Genomic DNA, 22,443 nt, shown 5'->3' on the forward strand with positions numbered 1-22,443 from the left:
CGAGACTATAAGGCCAGTAGAAGTGATGATCTCATATTTAGATACCAAAGGAAAAGACTCACAAATCTGTTAAATGGTTGTGACACATTTTAACCATAGAGTGGTACACGGTGATTTTAAAAATTTAAAAACTGTACAATTCTCTAAACTTAAGGTTAAGTTGAAAATCAGAGTAAAAAATGAAACTAAATTCTGAATTTCATTAAATGCTCATAAAACTCCCATCAGACTCCAAAGCTAAAGAAGTTCCAGCTCACCACCTTTGGGGAGTTATACCAAACACATTTATAATACATTAATTTCTGTGTTTTTATAGTCTCACTTCACCTGCTACGCACCCTTAGGATGTAAGTCCCATTTAAGCTAAACTTACAGAGGAGAATAATAGTAGTGAGGTATAGGAAGGTCAGGTGACTATCCCAAGATGACACAATCTTGGGGTAAAGTGAAAAGAAGAGTACTGAAACTCAGTAAACTTGTGTTAAGCCCAGTACTCTTTCCACAATTTATAATAGATTTGTATTATCTTTATTAACAACAGAATAATTCTCTTTATTAAATTGTCAGTGTATTCCTTCAAGTGGGAAGAAACAACTAAATTTTAAAAGAATAAAAAGTTTTAACATAAACACAGAATAAGAGGCAATGTGAAGGAAAATTAAGTACTCACAGATAAAACACATGTTGTCACTAATGACATTTAAAGAAACAACTGTCATCTGCTAAGTGGATGAAAATATACCCATTACAAAAGACTTTACATGAATATCTAAGTAGAAATTAACGCAGAATCTTACACCAGTTGCCTGTAGATGTTGCCTGAATTCATCCATCGTTGTGTTTGAGATGCTCATATCCCTAAACATTCCTTCCAGTTTTGACGTGAACTGACATCCACATTCAGTCTGTGGAGGAAAAACACAAATATACACAAATAAATGGTAGATGTTTCTATGAGAAAGTACAGAAAGAAATAAATTATTTCATGTTATTGCTATCCCTGATAATCTTCCTGTAAATTTTTCCAACAGTTGCTCTGTGCCTGTGGTTATCAAACTTTAGGATTTTAAAATGCAAATTCCCAGATTCTTTCAGAGATTCCAATATACCCCCATGAAAGGCAGGGCCCAGAACTGTTTTTAACTAGCATCTCAGGTGATTCACGTGCAAGTATTCTATGGACCACACTTTGTGAAAAAGAACTACACAGCATAGCCTCTTTATTGTTTCCCTTTTACTAATCCTCCCTTCCAGGCCTCCATGAATGTATCCTGACACACCAACAGAAATTCCAGCAAACTCTGAATGTCCCTGAACTTGAACAAATGTTAGTGTAGTCTGTGTTCTTCTCCAAAACAATCTACCTTTATTTCTAGAAATAAACACTTAATAATCTACCAAATTAATTTCCAATCACGTTGTCAGTACACAATCATAATAAACCTCAGTTAGGTGCACTCTATTTCATCTAAAACACACCTTACCTTTAACTTAGATATCATGTTTTTTTCAGAGTCATCAGAAACACTTTTATTTGTGAGAAGTCTCCTTGCCAAGTGTTGTTTATAATAACGTTCAAATACATCTTTTTCTTGCATAAACCTAAAAAGGACCATTGCTTTATCCAATATTGTTTCTACTTCTTGTTCTGTTAGCTGCAAAATTAAGATGATGTAACAATTATACAATTTTAGTTCTACAAAAGCAGTACTACGGTTCATTTACAGCTTAAAAACACTATTGTTTGAAAACATAGATATCTGGTTGACATACATCAAAAAAAGGGATACGGTTTGAGAAAGTGTCTCCTACTTCACACAGTAGCATCATTCTTACATTCTCATTTAGTGCATCATGAATGAGGGGTTGGAGTGGAATTCTATTCCGTAGAGGGCTACCACTGAATTGGAGGCATAAGGTAATATAGCGCTGGGTTAAGGGATGATTGAGAACAGATGAAATGAAATTTTAGTCACAGAGATTATTTTATGAAGCCTTTGCATATGCAGGCAAAAACTTACACAGCCAAAAGACGGAATTTTTCATTTAAGCTCACTGAAAGCCTCAACTGTGCAAACAAAAGGCAATAATTTGTTATAATCCAAACAGTAAAAAGGCCATTGCCCTTACTTTATTTTTTTATTTCTATTTTTTTTTTCTTTTGAGACGGAGTTTCACTCGTTGCCCAGGCTGGAGCGCAATGGCGCCATCTCGGCTCACCGCAACCTCTGCTTCCCGGGTTCAAGCAATTCTCCTGCCTCAGCCTCCCGAGTAGCTGGGATTAGACATGCACCACCACACCCGGCTAATTTTGTATTTTTAGTAGAGATGGGTTTCCTCCATATTGGTCAGGCTGGTCTTGAACTCCCAACCTCAGGTGATCCGCCGCCTTTGCCTCCCAAAGTGCTGGGATTACAAGCGTGAGCCACTGTGCCTGGCTGCCCTTACTTTTAAATAAGGGCAAAAGGATTCTGTGGCAGGTTGTATTAATATATTTGAAAAACGGAAGACCAAATGAATGCATAAATTAATAGACTTTTCTATTCTGTGCAACCTTAGTGATTTTGTTCCCTTATTGCAGCTACTGCCTGTAAAACCTGTGACGACATGTTGCTTTTCCCTTTGGTGTCACAAATTCCAAAATGAAGTCAAAAGAGACCAATTCAGATGTGAGCATGTTTTATGCTTCAGTTGATTTTCTATGCTGTCGTGAGCTCCTCAGGTTCCAGAGATATCATATATCACAAAGGCTTGAAATTGAGCTACACCAACCATTTTCTGAGATGAGATCTACTCTATCTATGCCTTAATATTCTTGGCATCCAATTATTGTTTGACATATAACCTTCAGAACCAGATGAGAGCAAACAACACTCTCTACTAGAAAGTTTTCTAGTTCTTTATCTTCAGCATGCCTAACTCTCAGTCATAAAAATGACTGTTTACCAACTACAGCTGTGTAGTTGTTCAGTTTTTTTTTTTTTTTTGAGACGGAGTTTCGCTATTGTTGCCCCAGCTGGAGTGCAGTGGCGTCATCTTGGCTCACTGCAACCTCCGCCTCCTGGGTTCAAGTGATTCTCCTGCCTCAGCCTCCTGAGTAGCTGGGATTACAGGCATCCACCACCATGCCCAGCTAATTTTGTATTTTTAGTAGAGATGGGGTTTCACCAAGTTGGTCAGGCTGGTCTCAAACTCCCAACCTCAGGTGGTCTGCCCACCTCGGCCTCCCAAAGTGCTGAGATTACAGGCATGAGCCACCATACCTGGACAGTTGTTCAGTTTTTTTGAGACAAGGTCTTGCTCTGTCGCCCAGCATAGAGTGCAGTCACGCGATCACAGCTCACTGCAGCCTTGAACTCCTGAGCTCAAGTGATCCTCTGCCTCAGCTTCTGGGACAACAGGTGTATACCACTGTGTGCCACTAATTTTTTTCTTTTTTCTTTTTTTTTGTAGAGATGGAGTCTCACTAAGTTAACAAGGCTAATTTCAAACTCCTGGCCTCAAGAGAGCCTCCTGTCTTGGCCTCCCCAAATGCTGGGATTATAGGCATGAGCCACCAAGCCCATCCAGTTGCTTGTTTTTGAAGCCAATTACACATTAAGTGAAATGTCTAACTACGTTTGGGCATGTCAAGTATTTCAAACAATATTTTTTAATAGACCATGGCACCCATTTAAGCACAGCAATGGGTCATGCTTAATTTTTATCTGTGAAATGTCCTAATTTTACATATAATTTTATATCTTTAAATAAAATTAAATGTTATTTTCAAATGCATTACTACTTACCCCTTTGACTCCCTTTTTCAGCTTATCATCAATAAATAATGAGAGGTATTCAGGAGACCTGGAGTTGAGGTTGAGAAAATACTCAAAGTCACCCGCAATAGTTTGTTTAAAGAGACGGTCATTGTTGAATGATTCCAGGAGGAAGCGATCGAACCTACTCTTCAGATCCAATAAGCCCTTAGAAATAAAAACAAAATTTAGGACACATTATAATAATTTTTCCATAAATAATACACTTATGACCATGTATGTTTATCTTAACTTTGCTGGTAATAAACATGTATATTCATTTTTAAACTTACAGTTTTGATATTATTTTCAAGCCTATATCTAAGCCTCTATTAAAAATGTCAATGAGAGAAGTATTATAACTTCCATATATGTATTAATACAATGCAAACGAACCAAAGAACCTCCTCACTGTTTCTCATTCTCCTGTCTTGATGGAATGGGTTAGCCAGTGAAAAAAATTAGCTTAAAAAATGTACCAAAAAAAGCTGATTATGTTAAAACACAAAACATGGCACATAATTTATTCATAGTACTCCTTGAAAACAAAACATTTTCAAACAAAAAATACTTAAACCAGTTGTTTTTTCCAATATACTACAGTATACAAACACTAAGGCATACCAAAGAACCTCACATTCACTATTGAGGCTATTTAAACAAGGTCTTCATCAAAGAAGTTAAATGAAAAGTAGCAGCTGAATTTTAGCTCCCTGATATAAATACGCACACCTTGCAAAATCCTAAAATATGTAGGATAATTACAAATATTAATTTACTACTGGGACAATTAAGTTGAAAGTACACAATACACAGCATGGTAAAAGTGGCCTTTTTAGCACTTGTCAAAATGCCTTTATCATAAACACAGAGAATCTTCTGGGTTTACTTACCTGGATATAGTCAACAGGATTCTTTCCTTCTCCTTCTTCAGAAACAAGAGCTTTACCTTGCTCCCTCAAATAGGAACTCATACACTCACACATTGTTTTCAAACCATTTGGCACACGACTAAATAACTTGTACATGCAACCAAGGTCTACAAATCAGAAAACACAAATTGGCTACATTAAAGATTAAAGAAAAAAACACGAATCTCTGTTCACGCTATAATACTGAGAGAAGCTTATTTCTCCATTACCCCCATTTGCTGACCACATGACTATTAAAAATATACATATATTGATATGAAAACATGAAGAAGTAGGCTAGTTAATGGTTATTATTGTAATTTATAAAACACAACTTTTAGATGAGATGCTTTGAAACCATCAATTAAATGTCCTAGCAAATTTAAATTTACATGGAAGAGATGTCAAAAACCATAATAAACAAGTAATGTCACAAAAACATGGCAACTGCAGTTTTGAGTTCATAAATACTTTATCCTACATAACTCTAATGCAGACCTAATGACACTACAAAACGTCTACAAAAAGGGTCACTAATTAAGAGGTAATTGGTAGTCCCTGTAATGAGGAAGAAATTTTAAAGCCAGTTTAAGTCTTATGGGTATTTCCAAAGGTTTAACTGATAATCATGAAAACAAATCAAATGAACTATACTAGGATTTACTTCATTACACCTCAGGTAAAGTTTTTATGAAATGTATAATATAAATACCACTTCTTCAATATTTTCCTGAGAGCAATCCCTAATGTTTCCCAGGTAGCATCCTAAGCCAATATCTGTACTTCAAAATTTGGTCTATCTCACTATACTTTTTAAATTTAGAATGAAAACTCTGGATCCTATCCATTTTTTAATATCATTTTTCACAAGACTAAAATACAGATTTTAAAATACAGTTTTCCCATATGTCTAGTGTTTCTTTGCAATAACAACTTACTGGGAGAACACAGTGTCAGAACTTTACAATGATAATTTTAAAAGTTTTACAATCAATAACTTTTTAAAATGGCATTAAGAGTTTCTAGATCAGAGGCTGACCAATGTTTTTTCTGTAAAGTATCAGATAATAAATATTTTAAAATGTGAGCCATAGAGCTCTGACTCAACTACTCTGACGCTGTAGCAAGAAAGTAGCCACAGATAATACATAAATTATTCAGTGTGACTATGTTTCAAATAAAACTTCATGGACCCTGAAAATTTATATAAATTTTCATGTGTAAATACTCTTGATTTTTTTTTTTTTTTTAACAAAACTGGTAGTGCACCAGGCAGGCCCTAATTTGCCTACCTTGGTCTACAGTTCTAAGAGTAGTTTAGAGCTTAAAGTTGTATACATTTTTAAAATATTTCAAAGCAAGATTTACAAAGTTTTACTAAACTTTATTTCAGTGACTTTCAGCAGCAAATTTTAGTTAGTTTCCATTAATAATATATGCCCATAGTAACCTACACATGGCAATTTTATAGCTTCTCACATACTTAGCATAAATTACAACCAAGTTTCCCATATTTAGAACAGGTATTACAAATGCAACAATCTATGGACACATACTACAGTAAATGTGGCACACCAAATACTTCTAACAAAATGGTTCACAACTTGTCTATTTCAATCCTATGTTGTTGTAAGTTTTGCTTAGATATTACATGTTGTGTATTTAGTTGTACATAAATTACTACAATTTCATTGTATTTAAATGTTGGGGTAAAGGGAATGTAAAAGTAAATGAAAATAATTTGGCATGCAAAAATTAAATATCATTATTTCTACATACACTTAATAAAATAATAAGATACTGGCGAGACACGGTGGCTCACGCCTGTAATCCCAACACTTTGGGAGGCTGAGACGGGCGGATCACAAGGTCAGGATATCGAGACCACCCTGGCTAACACGGTGAAACCCCCCTGTCTTTAATAAAAATACAAAAAATTAGCCGGGCGTGGTGGCGGGAGCCTGCAGTCCCAGCTACTCATGAGGCTGAGGCAGGAGAATGGCATGAACCTGGGAGGCAGAGCTTGCAGTGAGCTGAGATCCCACCACTGCACTCCAGCCTGGGCGACAGAGCAAGACTTCGTCTCAAAAAAAAAAAAAGATACCTCTGAACTTCATTTCATAGTGCTATCTGCATCTAATAATCAATCCAATTTATCCTCCATTCACAGTGAGAAAACTGTTTTTCATTTTCTGATTTATGAGAATTTGGCTTCATAATGGTGAAGTTGGCTCTGCTATATTCTCAACAAGAGCAACATTTTTTCCAAGAGCAGGGCCTACCACAATTAGGATATTTTGCCACCAGGTTTCTAGCGGAAGCTCAGAAAAATTAACCCCCCCACCTTTTTTTTCTTAAGACAGGATCTCCCTCTGTAGCCCAGGCTGGAGTGCAGTGGCATCATCTTGGTTCACTGCAGCCTTGACCTCCCCAGCCAGATTCAAATGATCCTCTCACCTCAACCTCCCAAGTGGCTGGGACTAGGCATGTGCCATCATGCCCAGCTAATTTTTGTATTTTTCATAGAGACAGGGTTTCACCAATTTGCCCAGGTTGGTCTTAAACTCCTGAGCTCAAGCGATCCACCTGCTTCAGCCTCCCAAAAATACTGAGATTACAGGCGTTTGCCACCCTGCCTGGACAAAAGCAGGATTTTAAAATTTAATTTAGAATCACAGATAGCTACTGTGTTGTTGGAAACCTAAGGTACTAAATAAAGGAGAACTCTGGTGAGTACTATTATGGTATTCCTTCATTCACGTAAGTGCTCGCCATGATAGGCATACCTGACACCTTTTACATACATCTCCACACAGGTTACAGAGATGCTGTAATTCAGGTATGCCCAACAACCTCTCCATCAAACATTTCCTATCCCCTAAGGTAGGTAAGAAAGCATTCATTCAATACCTAAACAGTACATTACATAATTTATCAATACTCATTTTGTTTAAGCAGGGCAAATGCTTTGCATAAAGTCCCAGTCTACCAGAGACCACTTAGAGAAGGGTCATCGAATTAGAACCCGTGGGGCAAATACAGCCTGCCATCTATTTATGTACAGCTCATGAACTAAGGATGGTTTTCACATTTTTAATGGCTGAGGAAAAACTGTAAAGAATGCTATTTAGTGACACATAAAAATTATATGAAATTCAAGTTTCAGGGCCCATAAATAAAGTCTTATAGAAACACAGGATTATTCATTTGTTATTGTCTAGGACTATTTTCTCACTATGACTGCGTGGCTCACAAGCCATTTTATTCAACAACAAAAAAGCTTGCCAACCCCTGACTTGGACCTCAATTTTAGAAAACACAGCAAATATACTAGATGACTTCTGTTTTTTTTTTTTTTTTGGCTTTTACAAAAAAGGTTTAACTGAAGAGTCTTTTAAAAAGGAAGCCTCTCTAGTTTTTTTTGTTTTTTTTTTGTTTTTTTAAATTACATATAACTTTTCAGGGATTTCTCATATATACAAACATTTAACAATTTTAAAACACAAGGTAAGGATTCCACTAGAGATAAACATGGCTCAACTTCCCACCAGCTTTCGTTTTCCTTTCTCTTGTATCCTCCTTCTCTTTATAATTCTCCTTTAAAAAATTTTTTCATTCCCTACATAGCTCATGACCCCAACAGGCAATATGTATTTCTTTTACTAAAAAGAAGTGGATAAAATATTGCTTAGATTTCGTCTAGGAAGCAGGAGAACAAAGTACCATGTTTTTTATTTCCTAATACCATATAAGTGGTAAAGGCAAAGTTTTAAAACAAAGCATCAGAAACTAAGAATAGAGGATATGGTTATTGTTCTTTTAACTTGTAATTTCTTCTAGGATACTTGTCACAATTTTTCTTTTACCCCAGGAAAATAAATAGCTATAAAAAACAAATGTTAGTTATCTCAAAAATGTTCTTTACTTTTATGCACTCCTCCTTCCTCCTTTTCCATTCTGTAACTTCAGTGTTCCCCAAACCAATCTAATTTATCTAAGTATGTCAATATGGAAGACACAAATATTTTTGCATTTTCAGCACCCTGTCACAACTAAATCCCAAAGGAAAGTCTACAAAAATCTTAAGGTGGAAACTTAAGGTTTTAAGAGAATCACAAAACCCCAAGAGAGTATGTAGGACTAAAGAGAGCCCACACCCTTTGGTATACAGGAAGTACAGGAATGAATGAGGAGCTCACTGGGCTCACCAATACTATTACACCTTTTATCTTCTGGATTAAATGTAAAATGAGACTTAAAGACAGGAAATGCTCAATTCATTAGAAATATCTAAAATCTTCGTTAGTAAGACAGAATCAAGCTTGGAAATCCCATTAAAGTTAACAATGGAGACAAATTAACAATACACACCAAAACTTCTTGAAAGCTGATATTATCTGCTTTAATTGTAGGAAAATTTTAAAAATATCGATAAGGCAGAGTAAGGATTTAATTATTTTTCAATCGGTAACACTTACCTTCTGTCTTTCCATTTTTCAACATATGTACTAGCCCAGAATTCTCCATTTCTACTATAGTCTTCATGTGCTTGGAAATGAGTTCCCTTTCAACCACCTTTACAATTGGTTCTTCCGTTGATTTGTCAAGGCAGTGCATCACTCGTTCTATTTCTTCATTAATTCTAGCTTCTACTTTCTTTATATATACTGAAGCACTATTTTCTGCTAAAAATTTCTGGCTTTCCATCTGCCATTTAAAAATATATATATTTTTTAAACATAGAAGAAAAGAGTGTTTTTGCTTTTAGCTGGGTTTCTACAGTGTTTATAATAAATCAGCCTAAATAAAATAAGTACTATTAGCATTTTGTGTAATTTCTCATTACACGAAAGACTGATATAGTCTGAATTATATCCTTTAAAGCCTTTGGTATTTACATAATACTAAATTAAAACATTATCTGTAAGCAATGTTTTTCAAACTGTGCCAATGTACTCCAAAAAATAGCAGAACAAGTATATACACGCCAGTGAGGGTCAAAAGCTTAGAAGCATCTGACTCCAAGATACAGTGGGACATTCTTTTTTGATTTGTTTTAATGTAAAATTATAACCAGAAAGATTCATCATGTTTATCATAAGCTTTGCTGGCATACTGCTGGTTAATTAAGTCTTCCAGTGCCATCCCACTCCCAGTCTCAAAGAGTAAACATGTACACTAAAGTTTGAAAATAAGAGCTTTTAAATAACTATTCATCTTTTTTTTCTTTTTTTTTTTGAGACAGAGTCTCGCTCTGTCACCCAGGCTAGAGTGCAGTGGCGCGATCTCAGCTCACTGCAAGCTCCACCTCCCGGGTCCACACCATTCTCCTGCCTCAGCCTCCCGAGTAGCTGGGACTACAGGCGCCCGCCACCACGCCCGGCTAATTTTTTTGTATTTTTAGTAGAAATGGGGTTTCACCGTGTTAGCCAGGATGGTCTCAATCTCCTGATATAGTGATCCACTCGTCTCAGCCTCCCAAAGTGCTGGGATTACAGGCGTGAGCCACTGTGCCCGGCCAACACTTTAGCTTCCTACGAATACATCTGTTTTGGCAACACTACAAAATTCCTACTGTTAACTGCTCAGGTAGTTACGGTTTTCAGGAAAAATGCCTTGTTACAGTTACCTTATAACTACTATCTTATGTTTACTAGTACTCAATTATTGTTGTTATCATCATTTCATTACAGATTAGTACCAGTTTAGCTTTACTTTTAGCAATTTAGTTGGTTTGGACCACTGTTGCCAATTTCTATCAATAGTACCATTGGCCTGTAATATTTTAATCAACAACCTTTAGGCAAATATGCACTACAGAATCATCCATATCCTTATGTGTGTTTTACTAGTAATTTAAGTGACTAAAAGCCTGCAGATGAGACTTCGTTGGTGATGTACTGCTGTGAATTTATAGTACTTAAATAATTTATAATATTAGATATAGTAAAAAGTTAAGGATATTTCTAAGTTTACAGTTTCATAACATACAGTTGACCCTTGAACAACACAAGTTTGAACTGCACAGGTCCATGAAGTGGATTTTCTTCCTCCCCTACCACCTTAGACAGCAAGATCAAGCCCTCCTTCTTCTTACTCCTCCTCAGCCTACTCAATATGAAGGCGAGGATGAAGACCCTGATGATCCACTTCCACTTAGTGAACAGTAAATTACAGTTTATCTTCCGTGTAATGGTGTTAATAACACTTTCTTTTCTCTAGCTTACTTTATTGTAAGAGTACAATATGCAATACATATACAAAATATATGCTAATCAACTGTTTATGTTATCTGTAAGGTTTTCAGTCAATAGCACACTATTAGTTAAGTTTTTGGGGAGTCAAAAGTTTTATGTGGACTTTTGACTACACAGGGGCGTCAGCATCCCTATGCCCCACACTGTTCAAGGGTCATCTCTGTTATTTTAAAAACCATGTGTGTAAGTTCAACCTCTTCAATTTGTTATCGATGAGTTGCTTAACTGGAATGGTCAGAATGTGAGGTAGTGTGCTGATGGGCATTTTTTGCATACTCCCCTCCCTTAATGGGTCTCAGTTAAAAAAGGTCAAAATAGTTAAATTAGTAACTATATTAAATAACATTAAGAACATCTTAAAAGATTATTTATTTACATTTTCACGGATTACCTGAAAAAATTCTGCAGACATTTCCAAAAAAGGAGCCTCAAAATCTTCTTCATAGACTGATCTTCCTTCGAGACCTAAAATCATTAACATCTGGCAAGCATTTCTTATTGCGCCTCTGTCGAAAAAAGTTATTATCACTTGATAATTAAATTACATTTAAAAATTCACATAAAAATTACAAAAAGGAGTAGGTAAAAATATCTTCAGGACATTTAACTCTTACTGAAGTGACCAATCTCCAATAGGCCACTCATGTAAAACGAAAGGATTTAGCCTAATTTTAAGTTGGAAAGCATATCTTGACTGCACAGCTATTTCTCTCAAGGTGTTCTTACTCTAAAATGTCTAAATATTTCTATGTATTTGAAAACACAGAGAGGCTGTTTATCTGGAAGAAGGGAGAGAGGGAGATAGGCAGATTAAGCTGTACTGCCAGACATGGGTCCAATATACAGCTACTCCTGGGCAATATAACTTTTTGCACTACATGGATTTTGGACAATGCTGATCAAGCACCAAAGACGAAATAAAAAGAACTTTACACGTTTTCATCCAACAGCTGTTCTGAAAACAGATAAGGAGAGAAAAAAAATCATGCATTTCAAGCCACTTTAGCTGCAGCATCACCAAAATGACACTGCAATCATTGTTATGAAGGGGGATGAAATCTGACTTAAAAGGGGCACAGGAGTTCTTAGTCATTTTAGACTATGTTCAATAGTTTTCTTCAAAAATGTTAGGAATGAAGGACAGACAAAAGCCCTTAAAGAAAAAAAAATACAAATGTTATTACACAGAAAAAAAGAAAAAAATGCTGGCATGAAAAATAAATGAAAAGCCAAAAGTGACGGCTAGCTGAAAAGCATATTAAATAAAAGCTTAGGATAGTCTCTTCTAAAAATATAAAAGATGTGTGCTTTCAAATTAAATTTTGGGTAACTGTTAACTCTGATACTAAGTTTCTGAGGATTTTCCCAATGTGCTCAACATTCAAACTTTTATTTATTTTAATAAAACTAAGACAGTGAATCGTTCTCAAGATATAATCACTAAAACCAAAACCACAAGAGTAAAGAGAGAAATTTTACCTGTCTACGACTTCTCCTTTCCGCTCTCTTGCAATCATATCCAATAGAGTTTGCCGTAGATGATCCCTAATACACCCATAACGTACAACTTGATCTCGAAAAATAATTAATCCCAAATTGTAGACGTTCTCCACATTATTTTGTTGTACATACACACGGTCCTACAGTTAAAGTCATATAAATATGAGTACAGTTCTTGTGAGCATAATAATTATTGTGTGCTACAATAACAAATAAAGGAAATAAAATTCCAAAAGCAATCATTTTTCAGGTGAGAAACACTTCAAATGATCTTAAGCAATGTGCAACTTTCCAGCACCTCTCAAGTTATATAAAGTTAAGTTTTTACAATTGACAATGGCTATAAATGGTGGCCCATTTACCTAAAGAAAAAGGGTAAAAAGTAAGCATCATAGCCAGGAAGAAAAAAACAGAGTAAAAAAAGGTAAATAGTAAGGTAGCACACTTTCTCCCCAAAGCTACAGCATACTCAAACATGGTTCGTTCTTAAATACTGTAGTTGAAGATCATATTCTTTGAAGTAAAACTGAGAGTTGAATAAAGTACGGATTTATACAACTTAGATTGATTGTTACTGATAAATATTTAAAAGGCTTTAATGCATAAAATAGAGCAGCATTAAGTATTACATAATTAAAACACCTCTACTTACTGTCACTTCAAACAGATTATTACTTTCAAGTTCTTACCAACATGATTACAGATATCTCAGTTTATAAAGCACAGATAATCCAGAAGTGTTGTGCATTCCTTGAAAATCCATATTGATAGCAAAATACACTGAAATAAAACTACTGTTTTTTGTAATGCACAGAAGGATTAGTAATGTAATTCCTTTCTCGTCTCAGCAAGGATCTCTCTGGGCTTTGGTGGGTCTGTGAGCCTTCTAAAATTATTAAGTTATATGTTTGTTCACGCTTAAGTACTTTGGAAAGAAAGCCCATATCTTTCACCAGATTCTTGAACATGAATCTACAGGTTATAGCTAACGATAAGGTGAACATGAACAGAGCTCTACCATATTAACAATGTAACCAGAATAATACTAATCAACTTTCCAAACTTTTTTTTTTTTTTGAGATGGAGTCTCATTCACTCTGTTGTCTGGGCTGGAGTACAGTGGTGCCATCTCGGCTCACTGCAACCTCTTCCTCCTGGGTTCCAGCAATTCTGCCTCAGCCTTCTGAGTAGTTGACATTACAGGCATATACCATCATGCCTGGCTAATCTTTTTATTTTTTTGTGGAGACGGGGTTTCATCAGTTGGCCTGGTCTCGAAAGTCCTGACCTCAAGTGATCTGCCCACCTTGGCCTCCCAAAGTGCTGGGATTACAGGCGTGAGCCACCATGCCCGGCCCCAAACAATTTTAATTAAATTCTCCACGTGCAGTTCTTGCTTCATATGACATCATTCCTCCAACCTTCTCCTTTCATTCATCTTGTATGATGGTTTAACACCTAATAACAAGGAAAGCTATTTTTTATATTATCTTCTTCAGTGCTCACATTTCTACATTCTATATAATCTCAGCACAAGCTCACATCACATTTTTGAAATCTTAACATCAATTTTGATGAGTTCAAAATGCTTATTGATGACTTTGAACTTCTTGGACTTCACACTTCCATCCTCAAGATCTTAAATTCCAAGTTTCCCTCTGACCACGTCCCTCCTTTTTTGTTTGCTTTTTTTTTTTTTTTTTGATATGGGGTGTCGCTCTGTCACCAGGCTGGAGTGCAGTGGCGTGACCTTGGCTCACTGTGAACTCTGCCTCCCGAGTTTAAGCGATTCTCCTGCCTCAGCCTCGTGAGTACCTGGGACTACAGGCGCCTGCCACCACACCCAGCTAATTTTTGTATGTTTAGTAGAGACAGGGTTTCACCATGTTGGCCAGGATGGTCTCGATCTCTTGACCTTGTGATCTGCCCGCCTTGGCCTCCCAAAATGCTGGGATTACAGGCGCGAGCCTCTGAGCCCAGCCTCCCTCCTTGCTTTTGATGGCTAACACTGTTTTTTGTTTTTTGTTTTTTTTGAGAGGAAGTCTCACTCTATCACCAGGCTGGAGTGCAGTGGTGTGATCTCGGCTCACTGCAATCTCTACCTCCCAGGTTCAAGTGATTCTCCTGCCTCAGCCGCCCAAGTAGCTGGGATTACAGGCACCCGCCACCATGCCTGGCTAATTTTTGTATTTTTAGTAGAGACGGGGTTTCACCATGTGGGCCAGGATGGTCTCCATCTCCTAACCTCGTGATCCACCCACCTCGGCCTCCCAAAGTGCTGGGATTACAGGTGTGAGCCACCGCCTGTAAACCTCCTCTTTCATCTCACATGACCTCCAGGCCCAACCTTTTCCTACTGTCATAACTAATCGTGTTTTACTTCTCAGCACAGAACAATATGTACATAATAAAAACTAGCATAAATTTAATAATTCAAAAACCAACAAGAATCCCTTTTATTATAAAAATAATCACTATTATTGCTTAAACTATTTTACACATTTGATTTTTCTAAGTTCTACATATAAGTATATATTGTACAGAAAAGCACCAGAGACAGGAGAATACCTTTTAACCAATGTGATCAAAAACACTATCTGAATGGCTAAAGACAGGTAGTAAAACAGGGAAACTATTAAACATATACACACATTTGCATCCTGAACATTTTAATTTAAAAATATAAACGTTCATTCAGACATCAGGACTTTCTTTGAAAATGAGTCCTGTGACTGAAGCTCAATATTGTATACATACAGGCCAGGTGCGGTGGCTCACGCCTGTAATCCCAGCACTTTGGGAGGCCGAAGCAGTCGGATCACTTGAGGTCAGGAGTTTGAGACCAGCCTGGCCAATATGGTGAAACCCTGTCTCTACTAAAAATACAAAAATTGGCCAGGCATGTTGGTGCGCGCCTGTAGTCCCAGCTACTCGGGAGGCTGAGGCAGAACAATCAGTTCAACCCAGTAGACAGAGGCTGCAATGAGCCAGCCCCTGTACTCCAGCCTGGATGACACAGCAAGACCCCATTTCAAAAAGAAAACAAATAGTGTACTTATAAACACTCATACATAATAAATTGTCTAGCATTCCTAGCTCAGTTTCATTAAGGTGAAGCATGAACTAGAGGCATTTGTGAAGTAATCTGAATGTAAAATCCTTCTAGATTTTTTTTTACTATTTTCACTCTAATGTCTTAAATTACCTACACTTAATTCAAACCAGTATGTAGCCATTTGCTTTTATGAAGTCTTTCCAAAGCATCCAATCTAGCTTGCCAAATAAAAAATTTTATTTTTTTCACAAGATTTTATCAATTTACACAATATTAATTATATATTAATAATAAGTACAATTCGAATACACAGGTTTGAAAAATACAACAGAACTTCAATAAGCACAAAGTTCAACTGGTAAGTGAAGAATATGGAAGATTATACTGGAAAAGTAGCCTAACAGTAGTGAGAGAACCTTTTATCGGGATTTGCAGCTAGAATAGAAAGTACTGGCAATTCTGACAAGTCCTTTGTTCACTTCTGCTTTCAGTCTCTGTAAATTTCCTTTTGTGGTCATTTCATATAATTATCCTGTAATATGTAATCTTTGGTGTCTGATTTCCTTCATTAAGCATAAAGTTTGTAAGGTTTATTAATGTTGTAACATACAACAGTATTTCCTTCTGTTTAGGGCTAAACAGCACTCCATTGCATGGATACACCACATTTTGCTTATCTATAAGCTGATGGATACTTTGGGTTGTTTCCATTTTTTGTCTATTACAAATAAGGTGGCTATAAACATTTGGGTACAATATTTTTGTGGACATATGCTTTCATTTTTCTTGGGTGGATTCTAAGAGAGGAATTACTGGGCTGTATGGAAATTATCAAACTTTTCTAAGGGGGATCTATCACTTATGGTAAATTTTTTAATAAAAAACCTCTAATAGTAAGAATAATATTTGATGTGAAGTTAGGAATTCTTTATATGATCCTGGCTCTACTGTTAACTGGCTATGTGACCTTAAGTCACTTATTCATTGTGGCCCTCAGTAAAACAAATGGCTGGTAAAGATAATCTCTAAAACATTAATATCATTTCCTATGAAAATCCTCTCACCAAAAAATAATATACATGCAGGATCAAATAAATGTACACTTCACTACTTCTTCCCCTTCTATTTGCTATCGGTCTCCCATGGCTTGGATTTCCCCTGTCCCAACTTTAAGCATAGTGATGGTATCGCTACTAAAGGAGGTAAATCTATTACCTTATGGCCTACAATGTCTGCTATCTTAAGCCCTCTGGCAAAAAGGCAGAAAGACATCAGTCAGAACTGATGAATTCTTCAGGAATGCTGTGTATAGAGGAAAATGATGCTTCAGTAAAGGAAGCCAAGGCATGTGATCAGAATACATAGTTTGGAGCACCCCAATCCAAAAATCTGACATCTAAAATTCTCCAAACTCTGAAACTCTGAGCATCAACATGATGCCACAAGTAAATTCCACAACTGACCTCATGCATCGGGTTGCAGCCAAAACTTTATTTCATGTACAAATTACTTAAAATATTGTACAAAATTACCTTTGGGCTATGTATATAAGGTGTATATAAAACATAAATGAATTTTATGTTTAGCACATGGGTTCCATCCCCACAATCTCTCATTATGTATATGCAAATATTCCAAAATCCCCCCAAAATGCAAAATCTGAAAACACTTATGGTCACAAGCATTTCGGGTAAGAGACAAAATCAACCTGAAGCTGGAAGGTGTAGGCAGAACACAGAATGTTTAAAGCCATGGGTTACTGTGGTGTAAGAGCTAAGCCTTTGTCTTTCAACTTGAGACTGTCAAGATGTGTGATGATAATTAAATGACATATAATATTAAGAAAAACTTGATAACCCTAAAATTTCATTATAGATAAAAAAGAGCTAATAAATGGAGAAGAAACACAGAAACTTAAGTGTGGCTCTATAAAACTATTAATAGTAATACTAAATAATCATTTATATTAAATGTCTGACATGTATGATTAATTACCATCAAGTACAATTAAGGGTACAGATGCATAACCCTTGAGTATTTGTGTGCATATGTTAAACAGAAATGCACACATATATTCACAGTAAACTTGTGATATGCACATGATATGATTCTAATATCATTTAAATTCTTGTGAGGTTTTAATTTTTATGTGTCTATTTTTTAAGATTTTTTAAAAGTCCCAGCTCCGGTTACCTCTAACTAGCAAACTCAAAGTATGAACAAGATTTTAAAAATCATTCCAAAAGAGAAAAAAAAAAAATTAAAGACTGATTTTAAAATGTCTTAATCCCAGGCTTTGACCAAAATGTAGTGACCAAAATGTAGTATGAGTTTGACATTAGTCACTTATCTACTAAAGAGACCTTAGCAGAGATAGAAAGTTGGTGGCTTTTTCTACTTGCCTTTTTAAAGCCAAAAACAGGCATTTTAAATATAAAATGTTCTGAAAAACATGTTCGAAAGCCTAATGTGAGTCAAGCATTATGTTTACATAAAGGGATGTGAGTTTCATCACCACAGAGATAAACCACATTTTAAATCTCTATTTACAGTTCTCTCTCAAGGGTTGCTATTCCTTGGCCAAGCAGGCCTGCAATGAGCAAAAACTTTCACAAGCTAGGTGGACCTGTGGTGAGAGACAGGAGCCAATGGTGGGGACCCACCTCATGCCCCCCTTTTCACAGCTGGTTCTGCATCTGACTTCATCCATACAGTAAGCTTGATAAACCAACTTCATTTGTAACATAAGCACTTCATTTGTAACATAACATCTATCTCACAATGCTATTCCACTCATTTCCACTTCTAGTCCTGAAAATAAATAGCTTTTAAGACCAACTTCCCTGCCAACAACTATAAAGGCTGGATAAAAAAATACAAAAGCACCACCAGTTTTAAAACATCAACTAGGACAGGCAGGTCTCCAGGAGTTGGACTGGAGAGAGATGGAGTCTTTCTAAGCCACAAGAAAAGGAAAGCTCAACCAGGTGACCTCCATGGAAAACTCCTGCAAATGCTTACTCAAGACCTAGGGCTCTTTGCATGCCCAGAAGACACGAGGACACCAACAAACAAAATGCTTGGCCCTACAAGACCACAGATATTACTACTTCCACCATCTTGGCAAAGATGTGCCTCTTCCTCTTCACCCTACCAACATATCTAAATAGTTAAATGATGTATAAGAAATCAAATTCAGCACATAAAAGTATGCTCAAAGGTGTCAAGACACACAATGCAAAAATACAGTTCCTATTGAAGCTAAACCTATGCAAAGTCAAGGGGTGTCTCTTAAAGTGCGCTAAATAGTTTCATTACTCAGGGAGTGGCATTACAAACAAATCAAATAAAAAGTTAAAATAAAAACAAATGTGAAAATTAAGTCCAAAAAACAACTTAACTCTTACTACTTAATTTACCTGCAAGAAAAAGTTTAGTAAATATTTTTAATAGTCATTATGTTACAGAAAAGCAAGCTAGGATAAATGGGTTCTAGGCAAAATCAATGGTGCACCCAAGGAAAGAAACAACTTAAAAATTGTTATTTTATCATTCCTATCTAATGTTTCATTTGTAACTATGAGTAAACAGGTGTTTGAGAACAAATTCTAAAACTAACCTTTGGGTCACATTCAACTCTGAAAGCTTAGTATAAATATAAATACAAAAGTCCTCTGGTTCTATTACAAAGTTTAAGGGAGCTTTTAATAACATGTTTGCTTTAAAGTCCAGTAGTTTCATACTTCTTTTTTTTTTTTTTTGAGACAGAGTCTCGCTCTGTTGCCCAGGCTGGAGTGCAGTGGCACGATCTCGGTTCACTGCAACTTCCGCCTCCCAGGTTCAAGTGATCCTCCTGCCTCAGCCCCGCTAGTAGCTGGGATTACAGGTATGTGCCACCATGCCCGGCTAATTTTTGTATTTTCAGTAGAGTTGGGGTTTCACCATGTTGGGCCAGGCTGGTCTCTAACTCCTGACCCGCCTCGGCCTCTCAAAGTAGTTCAGTACTTTTACTACTACTCCTAATAGACCAAGGATAGTTATTTATTAGTACTTATTCATCTATCCTCTGCCTGGTCCCACATATGGCCAGCAGTAGCTATTTATTTAGGAAAAAAAAAAAAGGTTTAACAATGTGTGAATTGCTGTGAAAGTTGGTCTTTTAAGCTAACTGTCAAGCTGGTTAATCAAACTCTTAAATAGTTCTTCTTTCAGTTTCTTATCCTCATACTAAGAACATCTGTAACTGTTTTTGTCTACTACTGTAAAAGAGAATACGAAAAGACAAATGTAAACAGGGTTAAAAAAATCTTTATAAATATTAAATACTTATTCTGCTAGTAAGCTAGAGATAAACCCTGAAAAGTTAAACTCACATTTAAAATTAAAAAAAAAAAAAAAAGAGGCAAATAACTCTATGACAAGTCTGTCAGAACATGTTAGAACTTGCCTTACCAAATTTAATCACTAAGGTAATCCTCTATTAACAAGTAATAAAATATTTTCAGAGTTCACTTTCAAATCATGAAATAAATACAGATTTAAAAAGGTTTAACACAATGAAGACAGAAATAGAAAAATTTTAAATGAGCAGAAAAGTAGTAAAAAGTTTCTACTGCAGAATCATAGTGGGGGAAAAAAAGTCTAATTATAATTAGATCGAAGTTTAAAGAACTTTCTCAATACTTTCCATGATACCAGTAACTGACTACACTTCTAAAACAGCACCAGTAACATATGAATTAGTAAATTGTACAGATAAACATTTCTAGATATAAAAATATTACTGATAAATTTGGTAGAGAAGCATATGATATGGTGTCAAAAAACCTGGTGGACTTAGCCACTACTAAAAAGCTCAGAGTTTCCACCACAGTAAAAATTTTCTTAAAATCTTTCTTGGGAGGCCGAGGCGGGCGGATCATGAGGTCAGGAGATCGAGACCATCCTGGCTAACACAGTGAAACCCCATCTCTACTAAAAAATACAAAAAAATTAGCCAGGCGTGGTGGCGGGAGCCTGTAGCCCAGCTACTTGGGAGGCTGAGGCAGGAGAATGATATGAACCCGGGAGGCGGAGCTTGCAGTGAGTCAAGATCCTGCCACTGCACTCCAGCCTGGGTGACAGCGTGAGACACCGTCTCAAAAAAACAATCCTTCTCAGGGGTCTGAAAAATTTTAACAAGAAAAACACAGTTGTGAAAATTTTTTATTTAAAAATAATTTCCATTTAAGAATTGTCTACCAAGATATTGGACAAATCAAACCCATGTTTCTCTAAAGTTGTGTAAACTGCAATAAATCATAAAATAAAAACACTGTTCTCTACTTCAAATTTAATAATCTAGAGGTCAGAGGGAAAAAAAACAGTTAATCACACTTTGAGGTCTTAGAGCAATGAATTTATAAGACTATCTTTCAGGAAAGAAGACCTGTATTAGAGAAGCAATACAATTCAGTGGTTAAGAGCACTGATTCAAGAACCAAATAGCCTCTGTTTCAGTCTTGTCTGCCATTTACTAGGTGTGACCTTAGTATCTGTCTCAGTTGCCTCATCTGTAAAATAACATCTACCTCAAAATGTTATTCCACCTTTAGTACTGAAAGAAAAGCTTTTGTAAGACCAACGCCCCTGGAAGAACAACTATAAAAGCTGGATGAAAATAAAAAACTACCACCTCATACCCATTAGAAGAGTTACTATAAAAAAAAAAAACACAAAACACAAAATAACAAGTTTTGACAAGAATGTGGAAAAATTAGAGCTCTCGTGCACTGTTGGTGGAAACCTAAGATAGTATAGCTGCTGTGGAAAGCAATATAGCAGTTCCTCAAAAATTACAAAAACAATTAACATAGGATCCACTAATTCCACTTCTGGGTATACACCCAAAAGAAATGAAAGCACATCTTGAAGAGGTATTTGTACATTCGTGTTCACAGCAACATTATTCACAGTAGCCAAAAGGTGAAAACAACTCAAGTGTCCATCAACAGATGAACAGATAAACAAAATGTGGTCTACACATAGAATGCGGTATTATGCAGCCTTAGAAAGGAAGTAAACTCTCACATATGCCGTAATACGATGAACCTTAAGGACATGCTAAGTGAAATATGCCAGTGACAAAGGGACAAACACCTTATGATTCCACTTACATGAGGTAATGAGTGATCAAATCATAAACAGAGAAGGTAGAATGGTAGCTGGCAGAGGCTTGGTGGAGGGGAAAATGGAAAGTTACTGTTTAGTGAGTACAGAATTTCAGTTTTGCAAGATGAAAAGAATTCTGGAGAGGATGGTGGTGACAGCTCTGTACAACAATGTGAACGTACACTTAATAGCTCTGAACTGCACACTTAAGGGTAAGATGGTAAATTTTATATGTATTTGACCACAATTAAAAAAACAAACCAAAAACCCCCAGTGTTTAAAAGCATCAAGAGTAACAAAGGCAACCTAGACTTGTAGGGCCAAGATTCCGGAGAAAAGGCAAACATACTGAGAGGAGCCCCATACCAGCCTTCACTGGTTCCCTTCAGTCACTTGCTGTCTTTGGAGGACTGGAAATAAGAGCCCAACCAGAAAGACAAAAGTGGAGTTGGTTACCAAGCAGCTAGGACTTAAGATGTCAAGGTTCTGAAGAGGAGAGAAACACAAAGAGCCGCAATTTCTGCAAGAAATTTTTCACTGAGATGTTTACTGATACAGCACCCTAAGCAAGGGGTGATGACACCAAGAATCCAAACAGAAACTATCAAAGGGAGGCTGAAGATCTGTGCTGAAGAGACAACTGTTAGAATTCTAGGAACATTAATTCAGAAGGCAACCTGGCAAACACCTCAGGCTTTCTTTCAGTTCAGACCCCAGAGGAACTATGCTCTGTGAATAGGTATGTCCTGGAAATAAAGGCAAACTGTTAACAG

The 22,443-nt window shown here is 36.4% G+C and overlaps 1 protein-coding gene across 7 annotated transcripts in view, besides 1 other annotated feature; it reads right to left on the minus strand.

The window, feature by feature from the left end:
- CUL3 (cullin 3) overlaps positions 1-22,443 on the minus strand; it is a 115,214-nt gene that overhangs the window by 32,018 nt on the left and 60,753 nt on the right. For all 7 annotated transcript variants that reach the window (NM_001257197.2, NM_003590.5, NM_001257198.2 and 4 more), the window contains 7 exons: positions 12,445-12,605; positions 11,357-11,471; positions 9,187-9,415; positions 4,691-4,836; positions 3,789-3,965; positions 1,485-1,655; positions 798-905 (listed from right to left, as the gene is read on the minus strand). In NM_001257197.2, coding sequence (NP_001244126.1) covers positions 798-905; positions 1,485-1,655; positions 3,789-3,965; positions 4,691-4,836; positions 9,187-9,415; positions 11,357-11,471; positions 12,445-12,605 — 1,107 coding nt within the window. The remainder of the gene's footprint in view (positions 1-797; positions 906-1,484; positions 1,656-3,788; positions 3,966-4,690; positions 4,837-9,186; positions 9,416-11,356; positions 11,472-12,444; positions 12,606-22,443) is intronic.
- Positions 19,491-19,560: a silencer, noted in NCBI's record as "silent region_12381". NCBI's record gives its function as "represses an Ori minimal core promoter by ATAC-STARR-seq in GM12878 lymphoblastoid cells {active_cell/tissue: GM12878}" and the evidence as "EXISTENCE:reporter gene assay evidence [ECO:0000049][PMID:35858748]".

The sequence above is a fragment of the Homo sapiens genome, chromosome 2 (assembly GCF_000001405.40).
Source record: "Homo sapiens chromosome 2, GRCh38.p14 Primary Assembly".
In the NCBI taxonomy this organism is placed as follows: Eukaryota; Metazoa; Chordata; class Mammalia; order Primates; family Hominidae; genus Homo; species Homo sapiens.